This window comes from Homo sapiens, chromosome 4 (assembly GCF_000001405.40).
Source record: "Homo sapiens chromosome 4, GRCh38.p14 Primary Assembly".
In the NCBI taxonomy this organism is placed as follows: Eukaryota; Metazoa; Chordata; class Mammalia; order Primates; family Hominidae; genus Homo; species Homo sapiens.
This window is the reverse complement of record NC_000004.12, coordinates 94,437,794-94,455,584: the sequence shown is the minus strand read 5'-3', so window position 1 is coordinate 94,455,584 and position 17,791 is coordinate 94,437,794. Positions and strand designations below refer to the sequence as shown.

Genomic DNA, 17,791 nt, shown 5'->3' with positions numbered 1-17,791 from the left:
AAAAGAAGTTAAATTGAAGTCAGTTATCCTTGCTAAATCTACTCCCCTCATCCTTTATTATAGATAATCAAATTTGCCAAGATCAAATCCCAGGAGCAATGATAATAAGTAGAGTACAGGTCAACAGAGAATTAAACAACTCAGCCCGAGGACTAAGCACTGAATGAACATCTATAATAAAATTTGTAAAGTTTACTTACACTAGAGATTGTCAGAGGCATGTTGAAATCCTTACCGCCCTGCAGCCGGAAACCCCAAGGAGCTGGGCCAACCAGTGACACACTGTAGTTGCTCATGGTTCTAATGGCTCAAAGTCCAATGACAGAAAATGAAATATGCTGTGAAAGAAAATCAGATGATTAGCAAAAATGTTTACTTGAAACCCTAGAACATAAATTATGTTTAGTATTTTGTTTGAGGGGGGTGAGAGGATATAGAAGATAAGTCTTAATTAAGTTCTTCATTAATTTCAGTTTAAGAAAAGCAATCTGTGAGCTAATATAAATTTTCTACACTCATGGCAATTTCCATGGTCTAAAAATTCCATATCAGAATACATTTCTAGACACTTAGTATGTTTCACAACTTGCTTCAATCCAATTTTGTGGCTTCTTGCATGCAAAGTTTAACTCAAAGTACTTTACAATACTTCACTAATGTAGCAAGATTTTATTTCAGGTTGAATTCAGAATAATTTTCTCCTTCCCTCCACTTCATGTATTCTTTTGTCTGCAATTGACAAGAGTCTTTCAACTGCACTTACTTAAATTCTAAGTTACTCTAACATGTGAAAGAGACTGCAAATCAGTAGGCTCCCATTCATGCTTTCCAAATACTAAATTCTTTACAATGAGAAGCTGTTTTTCAATGCACAAAACTATTCTCTCCAATCATGAACTACAACTTGTATTTCCTCCTATGGGGACATGGTATTTTCCACACTTAAAGTGATATCTACTTTTCCTTCAGATAGTCAACGATAGGCAATACTCTAGTACAGTGATGTTAGTCACAACCTGCTTTTTGTTTTATACACACACCTCACCAGGCAGAGAGTAAGCATTTGCCACTCAGTGAATAAGATTATGACTAAATACAGCAAAAGTGCTGGGTTAATGCATTCAAATGGAATTGGCAGTTTAGAAAAGAACCAGTGCTTCGGTGCTTTCTTTTGTCTGTTCTGCTGTTAAGTGTGCGTGTGATGACTCTCCTAGTAGTACTTTCATATAATTTTTAAAAAGCAAAAAAAAAAAAAAAAACTTCGAGTTTCCTATTGGTTGTTATAACGGCAGGAGACAGAGGAATGAAGTTTTCTTTTGTTTTAATGGAATACTAAGAAACAATAATTCTCTCTCTTTAAAAAATATTAAAAACATAACAGATATGTAATTTTATATTAAAAACATACTTCCTTGGAAAATGTAAGCTATTCAACCAAATCACCACCTAATATTACCTGTCTTAAAATATGTTTTAACCCATTCAAAATTTCTAGCCCATCACCCCAAATTCATAGTTGCAGATATAGATATTTGAGCCATAGGTATATTTAAAGCAAACATTCCTTCTTCTCATAAAGGGAAAATGGGGCAAAACATTCAAATAAGCCTGGTTTTTAAAGAAAAATTATATCAGGGAAAATAAAAATTACAGAAAATTGTATCAGAAACCGAAACAGCTTTTCTACTGGCGTGGTAGTATACTGAACTACAAGGCAATAACACATTACTTCAGTAATGAAGTAATAGGCACAGAGCACTAAAAAAGATCCAAAGGCCAAGCCGGAAGTCAAACTGTATATATAGGTGAAAAACTACTAGTGGGAAGCTAATAACGAGCCACACATAATTCAATTGCTTTCCCGCTATAAAAGGAGGAGATTTTCAGAAAACTAATAGAAGGACTGTCCTGATATTGACACGATACAAATCAGAATCGTGTAAAGCCAACTGATATTTCACAGGCAGCCTGCCCTCCTTTATTAATCTTTAACTTGTGTCTGGGGAATAATATGAAAGTTGGGCTCAACTTCCTCTGGCCCCATTCTTCCCTACAAGAAAATGTATTTCATTTAGATTATCAACCCATGTACTTGCAACTTCCCTTTACTTGGGGATTCCCTTCCTAACTTCTCTCATTTGTTATTAAAATTCCTAGCACTGGCAAGGTCACAGCCACACTACAAAACCAGTGTCATTTCATTTCTAGTCACTGTCCGTTCATTTCTAGATGCTTCTTCTGCTAGCTTCATTTGGAATTCATCTGCCTTAAAACAGTCTCTGCCCCAAGCAATGGCAATATTTTTATTGGCCTTTCCAAGACTCCTCCATCTGGTTATTAGTGCCCAAGCCCTTCCTCAAATACCAAGCAGGCAGGAAATAGCAGCATACTCTTTCAAACACGTCGAAAAGGTTGGAATTTCTGTAGAGTTATGGATTTTCTTTTAGGGAAAGTCTAAACAATGTCTTTGCTCTAGTACTAGGGAAGGAAGCTTGGTATTTCCCACACTTGTATCTCAGCTTCATTAGTGGGTGAGAGGGGAGAAAGGAGAACTCAAGATGAACTACACAGAGTGACAAAAAAAAAGGCCTGAAATTAAAGAGAAATATCTTGAGATTCTCTTTCCCCGCAATGGAGAGAGAATGTAGGTAGAGCTGAAGAACTAAAGCCACAGGCACAGGATGAAAGCAGCCGACAGGACAGTTTTCCAGGAGGGATTCGCGCCTAGCCTTGTTGGCCAAATAAGGCTACCGAACGGGCCGTTTCCGTGGCAGGCGGGTTCAGACGTCCTCCCCGTCAGGAAGGCGGACTTGGGATAGGATCTGGCGATCACACCCTAAATCTGCCCTGCCCAGCGCCGCCACGAATTTTCCTTCCAAGCTCTGCCCTGTCCACACGCCCTTCCTTTTTCCACTTATTGTAAAACGCACCGAAGGCACAGTCTTACAAAAGCCCCAACAAGTACTCAAGTGTTAACAAATCTCGTGTTCATGACAAATGTGTTTCTTAAACGAGCTTTATTTCTGGACGCGCAGAAGTTTTCCCCAAACAGGTTACACAAAACTGTAAATATCTGGGGGAGAAATAAATGCTTCTCAGTAGCCTGGGAGCAAAGAAAAACTAACGCGCCTTTTCCTTTGAGTCCCGCTTCCTACCCTCCAAGAGACTGGCGCAGGACTGGGCACTCAGACACCACACCACGGTGGTGCCGGGCGACGCCGGCAGCCGGGTGGGTGGGAGCGGCAGTGCCCGTCCCTGCCGGCCCTCGCCACCTCCGGGCGCCCTCCCGCGTCCCCGTCTCCGCTACGCTGGTCCCGGTCGGCCCGGGCTGCGGGGACCCCAGGGCTCGCCCTCTGGCCTCATGCGGACTCCAGCGCTGCCCTTTTCCGGGCGCTCCTTTTCCCAAGCTGCTCTCCCACCTCCGCCGCTCCGCGCCCAGAAAGCACCTGAGGAGCCATCCCTGCCCGAGGAGCGCCCCCTCCTCGTCCCCAACCGGGCTTCCCTTCTCGCGTTCGGCGCACAGCGGCCGGTTCTTTCCCTTCTCCCACCGGAGATCCGAGAGGCGCATCGCCGGCCGGCCGCCACTCACCTCGGGTCCGGCGCGGCGCGGGGCTGCCTCCGCCTCAGACAAGGGCTGACAAGTGACTCGCGGTGAGGGCGCCGTCCCCACCGCCCGCGGGAACTTCCGCCTCCTGGCTCTCCCTCGCCCCACCCCCGACCCAGGACACGCCCCTCCGCTCCCGGCCACGCCTCTGGGCCAGTCCCAGCCGCGCCGCGCAGGGGCGGGGAAGGTGGCGGCGGCGCCGGGCGCTCGGGCTTGCTGGGGCTGGCTGAAGCAGCTGCGGAAAGACAACTGCGCTACCGAGTTTCGGTGGGAGTAGTCTTAGCGGATTTTGAGCGCTACCTGGCAAAGGTCTAACCCTCCGCTCGTCCGTTTTGTAGTGGGTGCATTTTTCTCTCCAGAAATTTAAATTGGCAAGCAGTTGCTCTGCCTAAAAATAGAAGGGTACTTTGGATAAATCTCTATCTATGCAAGTTCAGCGGTTACTGCCTGCGTTTTTTTTTTTGAAAGAGCTTTACATGCTCTGAAAAGTGCAGACCCAGAAGTTTACCTGTCAGGAAGGTGAAAACCAGTAACCCTAACAGAAGTTAACCCTGTCCATCACACCAGAAGACAGTGATACATAAAAGCGGCCAAAAGTGATTCAACCACTGTATCTTCAGTTTATTTTTCTAAATCCAAATCAATAGTCCACTTTCCAGCCTTCTATAGGGTTGCTTGATACGCCCGAGGAATTTATTCATAAGAAAACGTGAATAATGTTCACTGAACATACGGAAAGTAACTAGACTGTTACACTGTGAATTGGCTTATAAAACGTGAAAAGGACAATTCTTAACCAAGGAGCATATAAAGCAAGGATGAACTTCATGAGGTCCGTGAGCTCCCCGGCCCCCAGAAGTGCAAGCAAAATTCCAAAGGCGAAGATCCAAAGCTGCTCTTTCCCTAACGGTAGCCACTGGCCACATGTGGCTATCGAACAGTTGAAATGTGGCTACTGTAACTGAGACCATGAATTTTTTGTTTTACGTAATTTTAAATAATTTAACATTTAAAACTGAAGCAGGATAACATTTCTTTACTTTTTTTTTCTTTGAGACGGATTCTTGCTCTGTCTCCCAGGCTGGGATCAGTGGTGCAATCTCGGCTCACTGCAACCTCCACCTCCCGGGTTCAAGCGATTCCCCTGCCTCAGCCTCCTGAGTAGCTGGGATTACAGGCGTGCGCCACCACGCCCGGCTAATTTTTTGTATTTTTAGTAGAGATGGGGTTTCACCATGTTGGCCAGCCTGATCTCGAACTCCTGACCTCAGGTGACCAACCCGCCTCGGCCCCGCAAAGTGCTGGGATTACGGGCATGAGCCACCGCGCCAGGTCGTTAACATTTCTTTTAAGCACTACATTTAAGGACTAAAGTTGAAAATATAATGCCCAAATTGAAATGCGTTGGAAGTGTAAAATGCACACTGGATTTCGACGACTTGGTATGAAAAAATAATGTAAAATGCCTCAATAATTTTTATATTGATTATATGCTGAAATCATCATATTTTATGTTTTGTTAAATGATACATGATTATGGCCGGGCGCGACGGCTCACGCCTATAATCCCAGCACTTTGGGAGGCTGAAGCGGGTGGGTCACCTGAGGTCAGTAGTTCAAGATCAGCCTGGCCAACATGGCGAAACCCCGTCTCTACTAAAAATACAAAAATTAGCCGGGTGTGGTGGCGCATGCCTGTTATCCCAGCTACTTGGGAGGCTGAGGCAGGAGAATCACTTGAACCCGGGAGGTAGAGGTTGCAGTGAGCCGAGACCATGCCACTGCCCTCCAGCCTGGGCGACAGAGCAAGACTCCGCACCAAAAAAAAAAGAGTAATAATAATAATATTTGATTAAAATTAATTTCACTTTTTAAAAAAAATGTGGCCACTAGATAATTTAAAATTACTTACGTGAGCAGGGTGCAGTGGCTGACACCTATAATCCTAGCACTTGGGAGGCTGAGGTGAGAAGATGGCTTGAGGGCAGGAGTTTGAGGTTAACCTAGGCAACATAGCAAGACCCATCTCTAAAAAAATCCAAAAAATTAGCTGGGCGTCGTGTAGTGTGCCTGTAGTCCCAGGTCCCAGCTATTTGTATTGCTGAGCCCAGAAGTTCGAGGCTGCAGTGAACTATGATCTTGTCTTTGCACTCCAGCCTGGGTGACAAAGGAAGACCCTGTTTCTAAAAAAATAAATAAATAAAATTACATATGTGCTTCACATTATATTTTCATTGGACAGCACCAGTCCATAGCTTTCACCACATTTTTCAAAAGATGGCTTTGGGGGAAAGTGTTTCCTAGTGTGAAAGCTGGTTTAGAGAGTCTAATATATGTTATCATGTTTGACATCTCACCCAAAAATAAAAAAAAAATAACAATAGCTACCATTAGCAAATACCTACCATGTGCTATGCAGTGTGGTAGTCCTTACAAGAACTTTATAAAATGAATGTCATCCTCATTTATAGATAATAGGTCGCAAGCAATTACAGCTTCTGCCAGTTCCACAGGGCCATGGCTCGAGTTAACCTCTAGGAGTCCCAACTCTGCCCCTTCTCATCTGTTTGCTGTTGATACAGTTAAATTGATCCTGGATCAACAAAGATTAATTTAAAGACATCAACTGCAGATAGCCTATGGAGTTATCACTAGAGGATAAGCTTCTTGAGGTGATGAGGAAGAGTTGAGAATGGGCAGACTGTTGCTTACTTATGCAAATTCCACTTTACCCCATAATTGCTAGCCTGTCTCTGAACCTCCTCCTACTACTGCAGTTTAAATCCTGGGCTACAGAGTAAATTAACCAAATTAAGTTGTCTTGCATAGACTGATATTTATCCAAGTGTCCTAAAAAGGACCGATTGCATCAAAATGACACGGATAGCTTGTTAAAATTGCATTTTCCTGGATCCCCTCTGGACTCAGAATCCTTGTAGGTGAGCCCTTGGAATCTTTTTAACAAACACTCCCTCCCCACCTCCAGGTAATTATTAAACTGCAGTGCTTAAAAACTACTTCCCTAGAGATAGTGCTATGTCTCCGGTTTAATGTGCACTGTGCTCAGTTAAGAACCATGCATTCCAGATGGTAGCAACTTATCTGTTTCCTCATCTTAAAGGAAATGATCATTGTAAATAACCTTGTGAGATTATCATGAGGAATAGAGATAATATATATAAAACATTACACAGCATGCTTCGCACCAAGTAAGGATTAAATAAATGGTAGCCATATGAAAACTTTCCTAACCAATTGATTAGATTTATTTGTGTATCATAAAAAACAAGTAGAGAACTTTGACTTTCATTATCCAAGTACTATGTTCTTGGTGCCCTATGTACATTATTCTACTTAATTCTTACAACCATATAAAGTAGACTTTTTTCAGAGGAAGAAATAGAAACTTGGAGATTAAGACATTTAACCTAGGGCACACGCCCACAGCTAATCAGTGATGGTAGTAGAGCAAAAGGTCTGATTCCAAAAACCATGTTACTTTCATCGCAACACACTGTCTCTTGGTAAATTCAGTAAGCCATCCAGACCAAAGACCTGAGGAAGATGGAATGCTTTCGAAACTAACACTGCTGAGGGCCATAGAGGTGTAAGCCATAGCAAATTATGGAAATAAAATAACTGCTGAGTAATTTGTATATGAGGGAAGATGAAACTCCTGAGCCACTTCAGGAGGACATATGCCTTAACTTGTTTTATAATGAATTGCCACGGGGCCATTCTGACTCCCCTTGTCTGTTTCCCTCATCACTAACATTTATGAAATGGTTGGCCATGGTCTGAAGGACAGCCTGTGACTACAGACGATCAGAAGTTACTGGTCCATTGGGAAATCAAACCAATGTCCTTGGCCTCATTAACTCTATAGGGCTAAGTAATGAGGCACTGACCACAAAGGAAAACATATTAAAAGCTTCATTTTATCATAATCAGGGAAAGAAAAGCTGGGTTGGGGGGTGGGGGAGAAAGAGATCAAAAGATTAACTTACTTAGCAGGAAGAGTTTTTAAGAATAGTCCCTCTAAACACAGTATTTACCTAAGCATATAAATGTTTTCTCTAACATTTTATTATCCAATCTATGACTCAGAACCTCTTGTAGCACTTCAAAAATAACAGAAACTTAATTACAACATGACATGGCTGTGACAAGTTTTTACAGTTGCACCCAATAAACTATGAAGTGCCAGTCTTTTAAAAGTTCCTATATTACTGAGTCAATTTATCTTTTAAGTCCTAATCCTGGAAGGTAAATAAACCACTCATGAGCATTTAAATTTTAAAATCTAGAATGGAAAAGAAGCATTAACTATTCTAATAACTAAAGAAACATTTGGTAATTTAGGGAGAAAAGATAGAAGGCACAGTGTCATTCTAAAGTTTACTAAAGAATCCTGGGAGAAGGGCAGAACTAAATCAGGCATGGAGAGAGTGGAAAGGAATAATGGAAAAGAAAGACTGTAAGAGCAGATCCGTGAAGCCTAGGGTAACTGAGAAAATGTGTAATTGAGGAAGAAGGCAAAGTTTAAACTAGCCTCAGGGATTCAAGTCTCAGTTTGGTGGGTGGTATTCATAACTGATATTGACTGAATGGAGAGGAGCAAGGAACTATGCATTTTACTGGCAGTTTCTAGTAAGGAAAAAAAAAGGCAATTGGTTGGTTAGTGAGGGGTAAAAATAAGAAGGATAGATAGGATGGACACTGAAAAAAGGTATCAGAGAGTCCCAAACTTGAGATTTCAGAAGTAGAGGAATATTCCTCATGATAAGATCAAGGTTCAGTCAGTCTGATGTTTTACTCAGATAAAGTCAGTTCACTGAGGAGTCCGGTGAGTGGTTGAGAGGATAGAGAATATGTAGGAGCGATTTTGGAGATGAGATGGAAACTAACATGTGGGTCAATAATTGTAAAAATATGTTATATGAAGACATTACAGTAACTACTCCATTATATTCAGAAGGTACATTTCAAGACCCCTCGTAGATGCCTGAAACCAGAATAATACCTAACCCTACATATACTATGCATGAATTTCTTTTTCATTCACTATTTCATGGATAGAAGATTCATTCTTACCATAGATCTTAGTAACTTCAGCATACAATTTTTTTATTTCCTTATTAAGTCAAGAACTTTCACCTTTTCACTCAAAGGAAGTGATTTATGGTTTCTCTTTGGCATGTCCGAAATACCAGCATCACTACTTTTATGCTTTGGGGCCACTATTAAGTAAAATAAGGATTACTTGAACATAAGCACTGCCATACAGGGACAGTAGAACTAATAACCAAGATGGCTGCTAAGTGACTAACAGGGTGGGTAGTATATGCAGCATGAATATGCTGGACAAAGGAATGATTCATGTCCTGGGTGGGATGGAGCAGGACGGTGTGAGATTTCATCACACTACGCAGAACAGCATGCAATTTAAAACATGAATTTTTCTAATGGAATTTTTCCATGGAATATTTTTGGACTGCAGTTGACTATGAGTAACTGAAACTGCAGAAAGTGAAAACATGGATAAGGGGGGACTACTCTATTTTAAGAACATTAAAGTAAGAAATGGACCTGGAGCAGAATTTCCCAATTAGTTGATTGTGCCAAGAAATTAATCTTCTCAACCTGGGAGGTGGGGCATACTGGAATTGGAAGCCTCATCCATTTCCCCAGTTTCCAAGTTTGCCTTGATGTGAAAAGAGTTGAGAAGCACTGTGTTAGGATACCAAAAAGAGATAAATGAAAAGATCATTAGCTTTATGTACTCATCATAATGCCTTCCATGTTTCTACTAACGAGTTAAGAAAAATGTGAAAAAAAAAAGGACACGGAGAATGCTCACTGTGATAATGCTCAGTTAGAAAGATCTTACTTATAAAAGGTAGTAGTAGAAGACACCCTGCTCATACCACTATACAGAGTCCTTTATTAAATTATTTTCAATTAAACACATTTGAGTATACCATCGATTTCCTCTCAAGACCCTGACTAACACATTATAGGTGACTCTTTTAATCATCAACACCTTTGCATAAATCACTAAAATGCTATGCACTCTTATTTAGTGTCTATCATGCACCAAAGATATAAGTGATGTCAAAAGCAAATTCATATGTTGGAAAAATATTGGAATTTTTGCTTTTTGGATTTTTTAAATTGCTGACTTTTTAAATTAGACACTTTATTTTTTAGAAGCATTTTCATTAAAGTGGTATGGTATAACCCACCATCATTTAAAATCTTGAAATAAATATCTTTTTTTTTTTTTGCATTATCAACTTTCTAACCAATAAAAGAGCTAGTACCAACTGTGAATATTCTGAATCACAAAATTTTTTTTTTGAGACGGAGTCTCACTTGCCACCAGACTGGAGTGCAGTGGGGCGATCTCAGCTCACTGCAACCTCCACCTCCCAGGTTCAAGCAATTCTCCTGCCTCAGCCTCCCAAGTAGCTGGGATTACAGACACGTGCCACCAAGCCCAGCTAATTTTTGTATTTTTAGTAGAGACAGGGTTTCGCCACGTTGGCCAGGATGGTCTTGATCTCTTGACCTCGTGATCTGCCTGCCTTGGCCTCCCAAAGTGCTGGGATTACAAGCGTGAGCCACTGTGCGCCTGGCCATTAATTGGCTTTTAAATCTCAGTTTGGTTTTTGGTCCCGAACTACTGATCTAATCTTTGCTGATTCATTAGATAGTCTTTCTCATTTCTGGATTTAGAATTTCTGAAGCTTTTCCATGGATCTTTCTATCAATAGCAGGGCTTTGAGGACATAATTATTAAGAAGGCAAATGTACAAATGAGGTCTTAAAGTAAGTGGCATTTTGGATTAGAAAGGTCCTTGGAGAAACCTAATCTTAACATGCGTTATTTACAGGAAAATCTCTCCACTCGAAAAATAGCACCTCTACTAAGTGTTTTTAAAATCCATTTATATACTCTGGGAAAGCAAGGAAACTAATATTTTGGTTGGAAGGTACCCACATTTATAGTCATAGTGGAATGCATTAAGGCATGTCATTCCTAGCCAAAATGTAAGGGATATAGTCCTAAGAGTGATGAATCAATGCATTAAAAATCTGATTAAAGCATAGAATTGTTTCTAAAATAAGAAGTACTATGAAAGAATGATTGTGGATCAATAACATATACTAAAACTAGACTATCCCACTGATAATATTTAATTTACACATCACAAGAAATTCTGCCAGTCTGTGCAATATGCACATACCTATCAACATTTAATTTCATAAAATTAATTCTGGGAGTATTCTCAAAGCCACTTTCTCTCAGCTGTGAAAAGTTAACAGATGAAGAAAGTAAGCAAGACAATTTTTTAAACTATGGGATATGAAACTGGAATCTAAATATTTTCATGATCTGATTATTCCACATGACAAAATGTTTTCTAAACAATACTCTAGCCAAAGTTTGAGGCCTGCTTCTTCTCAAAATTTAAAGGTATGAACAAAATAACAGGAGTTTTGCTAGGTATGAATAACAAAATCTAACCATTTTCAGTTAAATATTATTTTACACATTAATGCTTACATTTTAAAATTCATGGAAAAAGTGCAACTATAAATGTTATCAATAGTTGCCCTCTAGGTGGTGAAACTTGCTGTCATTTTATTATACTTCTATTTGCTTTTTATACTTTCCAAATTTTCTATGAAAATATTTTACTTTTATAATAAACTAAAAATTAGGAGTAGCAGTATTAGTACATATCAATACACATAATGTTGTTATATACACTTACTTTGGTTATAAAAATTCATATACATATAACAAATACCTGTGGAACAAATGGGAATTTTGAATTATAACAATTTCTTATTAAACATTTAATAAAAGCTAAATACTCTTTTGAATCCTTCGTATATATTGACTTATTTCATCCTCACAGCAGCCTAGATACTTACATTATAGTTTCTTCAGATAAGAAAATGAAGACACAGGGTTAATGTAACTTGCCCACAGTTGTTCATCTAGCTAGTATAGGCAGACGCAGGTTTTAAAGCCAGACAATCTGCCTATATGAGTATGTACTTAACTAAAATACATGGCTGCTGTTACAGAGTATATTATGGAAGTTTGTATCTCTGGAATTCTCTTTTTTTTTGAGACGGAGTCTTGCTCTGTCGCCAGGCTGGAGTGCAGTGGTGCGATCTTAGCTTGCTGCAACCTCCACCTCCCGGGTTCAAGTGATTCTCTTGCCTCAGCCTCCCAAGTAGCGGATTCAGGATCTAATTCAGGATCATAAACTTTCTTGACTATTTTTATGTTTTGCGTAAGTGACACACAGCATTAGGTAAACTACAATAAGGTAAAATGATTAATTATAATAAAAGTCACTTCAGGATTGGGAGCTAAATCCCTAAATCTCATTGTGAAAAATATTTACTCAAATCGTTTAAGCTGAAACCCTTATTTCTTTTAAGATTTATAGCCTTTCCTACAGAAAGGGGGCTCTTGATAATAATAACTTATTTTTCAGTATGCGAAAAAGCAGAAAAATCAAATTTAAATCTTCACAGAATGTTTGGTTTTCTCTATGAATTTCTTCTAGGAAGGAAAATATGGGGACATATATATGGTTGTTCCATTAATACCAGTCAAACATCCAAATTAAATCTAAAAAATAAAATATTTACAAGTTTGGTCTAGGTAGAACCAAACTATTAGACATTTTAATTATGTAATTTTATTTTATTTTAAAATTTAAACCGAGTACTTGATATGGACACACCTTAATCAATCTTCATAGAGCAGTCTTAATCACTTATATTAAATGTTAAAAGACAATTTTGATAATTTTTTAAACAAACACTGTGAACACACCAGTTAAAGAAATACAAAAAGAGTACTGTGAAAAACATAGGCAAAATAAATACCACATTTTCCAAATTAACATCAATTGAAACATGTATTGGACCGATAAGTCTCTGGAAGAGATTTAATCTTCCAGAGGGGGGAAAAAACTAAAGACATTTCTAGTTTTCTTTATATTTATCTGGTCAGATTCCTTGACAAATTCTTGTTGTCTTGTTATATTTAATATAGTTTTATATTAATTTATAATTTATATTATTTAGTAAATTTGTTATTTGGAAACATATTATTAAATGTATATATATAGTGGCAATTAAATCAGTGTGTCATCATTTTAGAACTTAGACCCTGTAACACTAAAGTGTTTCTAGCCCAAAGATGGAAATATATATAAATTTTGGGGATATATATAAATACAAGGGGATCGAGACCTTGCATAAAAAAAAAAAAAATCCAGCTTCTGATTCTTTCATCAATACAGCAGAAACACATTCCCCCTAGGAAAATAAAAATGCTACCTCTTTAAAAACACTTCAACATGATTAGCAAGGGCAAATGAGTAACAATCCCTCCTAGAAAAGAAATGAGTTGGTTCATTACAACTGGAGCCAAAGTATCAACTGCTATACCCAGATCCAAATATAGTGCCTTCTGGCACAGAAAGAACTCAGAGCCAGAGGCAGTACTGGTGGACACCTGATAGCATTGCCCAAGTAACTGGAGCTAAAGTTTTACTTGTTGTGGAGACAAATACACCGAAAATCCAGGCAGAGAACAAATCACATTACCTCCATTTTAGAAAGTACTTTGAAGATGGATTTTAAATCTCCTGGTATGTCTTGTTGTTTGTTTTTTGTTTTGGTTTTACTTTTTAAATTTTCAAAAATACACAAAATAGAATACTATAATGAACACTCAAGAATAATATAATGAATAGCCTCAATAATTACCATCAATAATATAATTTACTTTTGGGTTTTTGTTATTGTTGTTTGGTTTTGTTTTTTTTGAGACAGGATCTTGCCCTGTCACCCAGGCTGGAGTGCAATGGTGCAATCATAACTCACTGAAGCCTCGATCTCCTGGGATCAAGCGATCCTCCCACCTCAGACTCCAAAGTAGCTAGAATTGCAGGCATGGGACACCACACCCTGCTATTTTTGTTTTATTTATTTTTTGTTGTTGAGACAAGGTCTCACTATGTTGCCCAGGCTGGTCTCAGACTCCTGGCTTCAAGTGATAGTGCCGGGATTACTTTAATTTAAACTAAAGTTTTAAACATATTTTAAACAAACATAAGTATTACACATGTCAAGATTTCACAAACTATTTTTCAGGTTAAATGAAAGAATGTGAGTTTCAGTTCATCCATATTGCAGTTCAAAAGTTGGTAAAAAAAAAAAAATGTTTGGCAGGGTTTTTTTTTTTTTTTCCAAATGGAAACTCTTAGGGCAAGTAAATCTTGGTGAAGTTCCATCAGTTTAAAACTGAGTATGCTCAGAAATTAACTTTTATTAGTCCAACTACTAAATAGACAGACGTTCAGGGACTCATTCATGTTAAAAATCAAGCTTGCTAGAAGCTTGTAAAAAACCCAGAGGTGGCCAGGCGCAGTGGCTCATGCCTGTAATCCCAGCACTTTGGGAGGCCGAGGCAGGTGGATTACCTGAGGTCAGGAGTTTGAGACCAGCCTGGCCAACATAGTGAAACCCTGTCTCTACTAAAAATACAAAAATTACCCGGGCGTGGTGGCACACACCTGTAATCCCAGCTACTCGCGAGGCTGAGGCAGGAGAATTGCTTGAGCCGGGGAGGCAGAGGTTGCAGTGAGCCGAGATGGCACCACACTGCACTCCAGCCTGGCTGACAGAGCGAGGTTCTGTCTCAAAACAAAACAAAACAAAACAAAAGAAAGAAAGAAAAGAGAAGAAAAGAAAAGAAAAAAACCCAGAGGTTGAATTTGTTAATTTACACTAAAAGGTTACCTGTGAAGCAATCTGAACCTTCATATCATTTTACTTACAGGAGGGAAGTCTAATTGAAAAATAAAATTTAGGTCAGAAGTTTGCTTGGTGAGTATAGAATCAGAGTAAAAGGAGGTGCAAGAAGTTAAGGAGAAGCCTCATCCCATTGGATAACCAGATGGACTCTTCCCTTGTAGGGTGATGACTTCAGCAAGTGATTTAGGATGCCGCTAACACAGCTTCCACAGGCTGCAGTTGGAAAACACTAATAAGGGCTTAGTTTCAAACTCTTTCTTGTCGGAGTGCCTAATTTCTATTTCTTTCTATTAATAAAACACCTCATTATGAAGAGATACTATTTCTTTTCCTTTCTATTAATGAAACACCTCATTATGAAGAGATACTATTTCTTTTTCTTTTTCTTCTTCTTTTTTGAGATGGAGTCTCGCTCTGTCACCCAGGCTGGAGTGCAGTGGCGCGATCTCGGCTCACTGCAAGCTCCGCCTCCTGGGTTCACGCCATTCTCCTGCCTCAGCCTCCCGAGTAGTTGGGGCTACAGGCGCCCGCCACCACGCCCGGCTAATTTTTTGTATTTTTAGTAGAGACGAGTTTTCACCGTGTTAGCCAGGATGGTCTCCATCTCCTGACTTCGTGATCTGCCCATCTCGGCCTCTCAAAGTGCTGGGATTACAGGCGTGAGCCACCGCGCCCGGCCAGAGATACCATTTCCAAGGTTGTAGATTACCTACATGAGTAGCATTTTAAATTAATGTCGTCCCTCTTGAGGGAAACTCCCAGGCCCCTTGCTGAAGGTTAGGAAGCAACCGACTGAGCAACTATTGACTCCCCAGCGTGCTTTCTACCACACCTCAGGTCATTTAGATTTGAACACTGGCAAAACACAAATGCAGATTTTTCCTGTTTCTCCAGATTTCAGAGAAAAGACTACAGTTGTTTGATTGCTTTTTCTGAGATGGTTAAAGAAAGACTAGCCTGTAACCCAATTTCTAAGGGTTGGCTTCCCAAAGAATCAAAGTTCTTACTTAGATTTTCAGGTTGAACACTAGAAAAACACATTTTCATCTTTTTCCAGGCTTGTTGACTCTATTAATATTTGTTTCTAAGATTAATAAAACAGATTCTGTCTTTCCTTTGTGCATGTATATGCTATCAATTTATTATTATATATTAGCTTTTCTTTATCAAAGGGTTGAAAATTGAAACAAATTCAAGACTTCTTATAGTATTAAAATTTCTGTTTCATTAGATCTGTCTCATACTGTGAACAGGAATAAATGAGAAGCTTTCAACAGGCCGTGAGGTTTCATGACTTCCTTCATTTGTTCTAAGTGGCTTCCTTTCTAGCCCAACCCTCACCAATTCATAAGAATTTGACCTGATCAACCACCCTGTTCTGAAGGAGAAAAGATTTTTTTTCCCACCAGTGGCTAAAATATGGCTGAAACACCCGTAACAAAAAGGAAATTGTCAAGAAACAAGCATACAAATTTATTTAAGTTTTATGTGACTCAAGAGCCTTCAGAAATAAAGAACCAAAGAAAAAGGGAAATCAGTGTATTTTTTTTGCTAAGTTTGATGAAAGAGTGGATAGTTGTAGAGAAGGATGACTGCACAAAAGGGGTATGATATAATGGTAATAAACTGGGGGAAACTTAGTTTGTTCAGATTCTTCTCTGTGTCCCTGTGTCTTCAGAGATAAGGACATTCTTCTAGGTTTAGGGAGGGCATCTCTCACAAAAGGGTCTTATAACCTGCTTCAGAGGAAGGTCAGATAATTCTTTTATGGCCTGCTTCATGGGAGAAGAGTGTGGAGAAAGACTTCCTGCTTCTGCTGCTTTCTTAAATGCCAAGGTGCCATATACTGGGGTACTGTGTCTTGAACCCCATCACTCTCTACAGACACAAATTCTTAAAAATTAATTTTATCCAAAGGAATAATATTAGAGGTCATTTTATTATACCCTTATTGATTGCCAACGCATTTTGATTCTCGCATTTGTAAAGAATAGCTTCCTCTTCTGCTTGTCTGTTCCAAGACAGTTGACTGGAAGACTATGTAGTGACAGACTCGCTGGGATGCAGAAGAAATTTTCTTGCTGTAGCATTTAGGTATTAGTAACATCTCTGAAATAATGACATTTGGTTATCTTATTTACAAAGTATAATGTTGGAGATAAATAATCTCACCAAAAATAATCCACTTTTTAGCTTTGAAGTTAAAAAAATCCACGGGTTAGTTCCACAAACTCTAAGGTAATTGCTGTGGTTTCAATGTGTACTCCAAAGTCCAAATATTGAAACAATGCCCAATGCAGCAGTGTTGAGAGGTGGAACTTAAGAGATGATTAAGTCATGAGGGCTCTTCTCTTACGAATGAATTAATGTCGTTATCAAGGGACTGGGTTCCTGATAAAAAGATGAGCACTATCCCCTTCCCTTCTCTTTCTCTCGTGAGCTCTCTTGCCCTTCTGCCTTCAGCCTGCAATGATGCAGCAAGAAGACTCTCACCAGATCTGGCCCCTCAGTCTTAGAGTTCTCAGCCTCCAGAACTGTGAGCCAAATAAGTATCTGTTCAGTATAAATTACTCAGTCTTAGATGTTATTATATTTTATATATAAAAATTATATGTTAAAAGCAGCACAAAATAGACTCAGATAGCAATCTTCTATTTTTTAATTCTGATTTACCTGTTTGATTGATTGATTGATTGATTGATTGATATAGGGTCTTGCTCTGTCACCCAGACTGGAGCACAGTGGTGATATCACAGCTACTGCAGCCCTAATCTCCTGAGCTCAAAGAGATCCTCCAATCTTAATATCCTTTCCCTAACCCCTCACTCTTCTGCCTAATAGCTGAGATTACAGGTATGGCCATCCTGTCCAGCTAATTTTTTTTCTTTTCTTTTTTTTTCTTTTTTTTTTTTTTTTTGGTAGATACTAGTTCTCTCTACCTTGTGCAAGCTGGTCTCAAACTCCTGGACTCAGGACATCCTTCCAGTTCTTCCACCTTGGCCTCCCAAAGTGTTGAGATTACAGGTGTAAGCCACCCTGCTGGGCCTGTTTTCTTATCTACATAATAACTATCATTATGGATTGACAAGTACTTCCTTCTTTTATAATTAAATTTTTATGTTTATTTTAACAGTTTTTGGGTTTAAAGGTGGTTTTGGTTATATGGATAAGTTCTTTTTTTTTGAGATGGAGTCTCATTCTGCCGCCAAGGCTGGAGTGCAGCGGCACAATCTTGGCTCACTGCAACCTCCATCTCCTGGTTCAAGTGATTCTCCTACCTCCTGAGTAGCTGGGACTACAGGCATGTGCCATCATGCCCAACTAATTTTTGGA

General features: G+C 39.3%; 1 protein-coding gene across 10 annotated transcripts in view, besides 3 other annotated features; it reads right to left on the bottom strand.

Annotated features, from left to right (window-relative positions):
• The window catches only part of PDLIM5 (PDZ and LIM domain 5), a 216,282-nt gene extending 212,639 nt beyond the window's left edge, over nucleotides 1-3,643 (bottom strand). For all 10 annotated transcript variants that reach the window (NR_046186.2, NM_006457.5, NM_001256426.2 and 7 more), the window contains exons 1-2: nucleotides 3,590-3,643; nucleotides 201-338 (exon numbers count right to left, since the gene is read on the bottom strand). Coding sequence is in view for 7 of the 10 variants with exons in the window: in NM_006457.5 (NP_006448.5) it covers nucleotides 201-296 (96 nt within the window). In the remaining 3 variants the exon portion in view is untranslated. The remainder of the gene's footprint in view (nucleotides 1-200; nucleotides 339-3,589) is intronic.
• Nucleotides 3,144-3,403: a silencer, noted in NCBI's record as "silent region_15575". NCBI's record gives its function as "represses an Ori minimal core promoter by ATAC-STARR-seq in GM12878 lymphoblastoid cells {active_cell/tissue: GM12878}" and the evidence as "EXISTENCE:reporter gene assay evidence [ECO:0000049][PMID:35858748]".
• Nucleotides 3,574-3,993: a silencer, noted in NCBI's record as "silent region_15574". NCBI's record gives its function as "represses an Ori minimal core promoter by ATAC-STARR-seq in GM12878 lymphoblastoid cells {active_cell/tissue: GM12878}" and the evidence as "EXISTENCE:reporter gene assay evidence [ECO:0000049][PMID:35858748]".
• Nucleotides 15,064-15,226: a silencer, noted in NCBI's record as "fragment chr4:95361510-95361672 (GRCh37/hg19 assembly coordinates)". NCBI's record gives its function as "represses an EF-1alpha promoter that drives an FKBP-Casp9 reporter gene in an ReSE screen in HepG2 liver carcinoma cells {active_cell/tissue: HepG2}" and the evidence as "EXISTENCE:reporter gene assay evidence [ECO:0000049][PMID:32094911]".